Consider the following 3,335-nt stretch of genomic DNA (forward strand, 5'->3'; position numbering starts at 1 on the left):
TATGGTTTTAGGTTTAACGTTTAAATCTTTAATCCATCTTGAATTGATTTTTGTATAAGGTGTAAGGAAGGGATCCAGTTTCAGCTTTCTACATATGGCTAAATAATCAATGTACAAAAATCACAAGCATTCTTATACACCAACAACAGACAAACAGAGAGCCAAATCATGGGTGAACTCCCATTCACAATTGCTTCAAAGAGAATAAAATACCTAGGAATCCAACTTACAAGGGATGTGAAGGACCTCTTCAAGGAGAACTACAAACCACTGCTCAAGGAAATAAAAGAGGAGACAAACAAATGGAAGAACATTCCATGCTCATGGGTAGGAAGAATCAATATCGTGAAAATGGCCATACTGCCCAAGGTAATTTACAGATTCAATGCCATCCCCATCAAGCTACCAATGACTTTCTTCACAGAATTGGAAAAAACTACTTTAAAGTTCATATGGAACCAAAAAAGAGCCCGCATTGCCAAGTCAATCCTAAGCCAAAAGAACAAAGCTGGAGGCATCACACTACCTGACTTCAAACTATACTACAAGGCTACAGTAACCAAAACAGCATGGTACTGGTACCAAAACAGAGATATAGATCAATGGAACAGAACAGAGCCCTCAGAAATAATGCCGCATATCTACAACTATCTGATCTTTGACAAACCTGAGAAAAACAAGCAATGGGGAAAGGATTCCCTATTTAATAAATGGTGCTGGGAAAACTGGCTAGGTATTTCCTTTTCTACCATAGGCTGCAAAGCGCTCCAAATCTCCACTTGCAGATTCTGTAAAAGGAGTGCTTCCAAAATGCTCAATCAAAATGAAGGTTCAACTCAGTGAGATGAACGCACACATCACAAAGAAGTTTCTCAGAATTCTTCTGTCTAGTATTTATGTGAAGATATTTCCTTTTCCACCATAGGCCTAAAAGCGCTCCAAAAGTCCACTTGCAGATTCTACAAAAAGAGAGTTTCAAAACTGCTCAATCAAACTAAAGTTTTAACTCTGTGAAATGAATGCACACATCACAAAGTAGTTTCTCAGATTGCCTCTGTCTGAATTTTATGTGAAGATATTTCCTGTTCTGCCATAGGCCACAAAGTGCTCCAAATGTCCACTTGCAGATTCTACAAAAAGAGTGTTTCCAAACAGCTCAATCAAAAGAAAGTTTCAACTCTGTGAGGTGAACGCACACATCACAAAGAAGTTTGTCAGAATTCTTCTCTCTAGTTTTTATGTGAAGATAAATTCCTTTTCCACCGTAGGCTTCAAAGTGCTCCAAATGACCATTTGCAGATTCTACAAAAAGAGAGTTTCAACACTGCTCAATCAAAAGAAAGGCTCAATTCTGCGAGATGAATGCACATATCACAAAGAACTTTCTCAGAATTCTTCTGTCTTGTTTTTATGTGAAGATATTTCCTTTTAAACCATAGGCCTCAAGGCGCTCGAAATGTCCACTTGAAGATTCTACAGAAAGAGTATTTCAAAACTGGTCCTTCAAAAGAAAGATTCAACTCTGGGTGATAAATGCGCACATCACAAAATCTTTCTCAGAACGCTTCTATGTAGTTTTTATGTGAAGATATTTCCTTTTCCACCATAGGCCTCAAATTGCTCCAAATGTCCACTTGCAGATTCTACAAAAAGACAGTTTCAAAACTGCTCAATCAAAAGAAATGTTTATCTCTGTGAGATGAATGCACACATCACAAAGCTGTTTCTCAGATTACTTCTGTCTAGATTTTATGTGAACATATTTCCTTGTCTACCATAGGCCACAAAGTGCTCTAAATGTCCACTTGCAGATTCTATAAAAAGAGGGTTTCCAAACTGCTCAATCAAAAGAAAGTTTCAACTCTGTGAGATGAACGTGCCCATCACAAAGTTTTTCAGAATTCTTCTGTCTAGTTTTTATGGGAAGATATTTCCTTTCTCACTGTAAGCCTCAAAGCGCTCCAAATGTCCACTTGCAGAGTCTACGAAAAGAGAGTTTCAAAGCTGCTCAATCAAAAGAATGGCTTAACTCTGTGAGATGAATGCACACATCACAAAGAAGTTTCTCAGATTGATTCTGTCTAGATATTATGTGAAGATAATTCCTTTTCTACCATAGACCGCAAAGCGCTCCAAATGTCCACTTGGAGATTCTAAAAAAGAGTGTTTCCAAGCTACTCAATCAACAGAATGGTTCAAATCTGTGACATGAATGCACACATCACAAAGAAGTTTCTCAGAAATCTTCTGTCTATTTTTATGTGGAGATATTTCCTTATCCACTATAGGCCCCAAAGTGCTCCAATTGTCCACTTGCAGATTCAACAAAAAGAGAGTTTCAAAACTGCTCAATCAAAAGAAAGGTTTAACTCTGTGAGATGAAAGCACACATCACAAAGAAGTTTCTCAGATTGCTTCTGTGTAGGTTTTATGTTAAGATATTTCCTTTTCTACCATAGGCCGCAAAGCGCTCCAAATGTCCACTTGCAGATTCTACAAAAAGAGTGTTTCCAAACTGCTCAATCAAAAGAAAGTTTCAACTCTGTGAGATGAACGCACACATCACCAACAAGTTTCTCAGAATTCTTCTCTCTAGTTTTTATGTGAAGATATTTCTATTTCCACCATAGGCCTAAAAGAGCTCCAAATGTCCACTTGCAGAGTCTACAAAAAGAGAGTTTCAAAACTGCACAATCAAAAAAAAGTTTTAACTCTGTGAGATGAATGCACACATCACAAAGAAGTTTCTCAGATTGGTTTTGTCTAGATTTTATGTGAAGATATTTCCTTTTCTACCATAGGCCTCAAAGCGCTCCAAATGTCCACTTGCAGATTCTACAAAATAGTTTCAAGACAGCTCAATCAAAAGAAATGTTTAACTCTGTGAGATGAATGCACACATCACAAAGAAGTTTCTCAGAATGCTTCTGTCTAGTTCTTAAATGAAGATATTTCCCATTCCACAACAGGACTCAAATGGCTCCCAATGTCCACTTGCAGATTGTTCAAAAATAGTGTTTAAACCTGCTCAATCAAAAGAAATGTTCAACCCGGTGAGATGAATGCACACAACACAAAGGATTTTCTCTGAATGATTCTGTCTAGTTTTTATGTGGACATATTTCCTTTTAAACCATAGGCCTCAAAGTGCTTCAAAAGTACACTTGCAGATTCCACAAAGAGTTTTTCAAAACTGCTAAATGAAAAGAAAAGTTCAAATCTGTGTGAAGAATGTACACATAACAAAGAAGTGTGTCAGAATGTTTCTGTATAGTTTTTATGTTAAGGTATTTGCTTTTCCACCATAGGCCTCGAAGAGCTCCAAATGTCCACAT

The 3,335-nt window shown here is 37.3% G+C and overlaps 1 annotated feature.

Annotated features, from left to right (window-relative positions):
• Positions 2,189-3,043: an enhancer, noted in NCBI's record as "OCT4-NANOG hESC enhancer chr15:20025538-20026392 (GRCh37/hg19 assembly coordinates)". NCBI's record gives its function as "activates a minimal SCP1, AML or CMV promoter by ChIP-STARR-seq in naive H9 embryonic stem cells {active_cell/tissue: H9 hESC(naive)}" and the evidence as "EXISTENCE:reporter gene assay evidence [ECO:0000049][PMID:30033119]".

This window comes from Homo sapiens, chromosome 15 (genome assembly GCF_000001405.40).
Source record: "Homo sapiens chromosome 15, GRCh38.p14 Primary Assembly".
Classification (NCBI taxonomy): domain Eukaryota; kingdom Metazoa; phylum Chordata; class Mammalia; order Primates; family Hominidae; genus Homo; species Homo sapiens.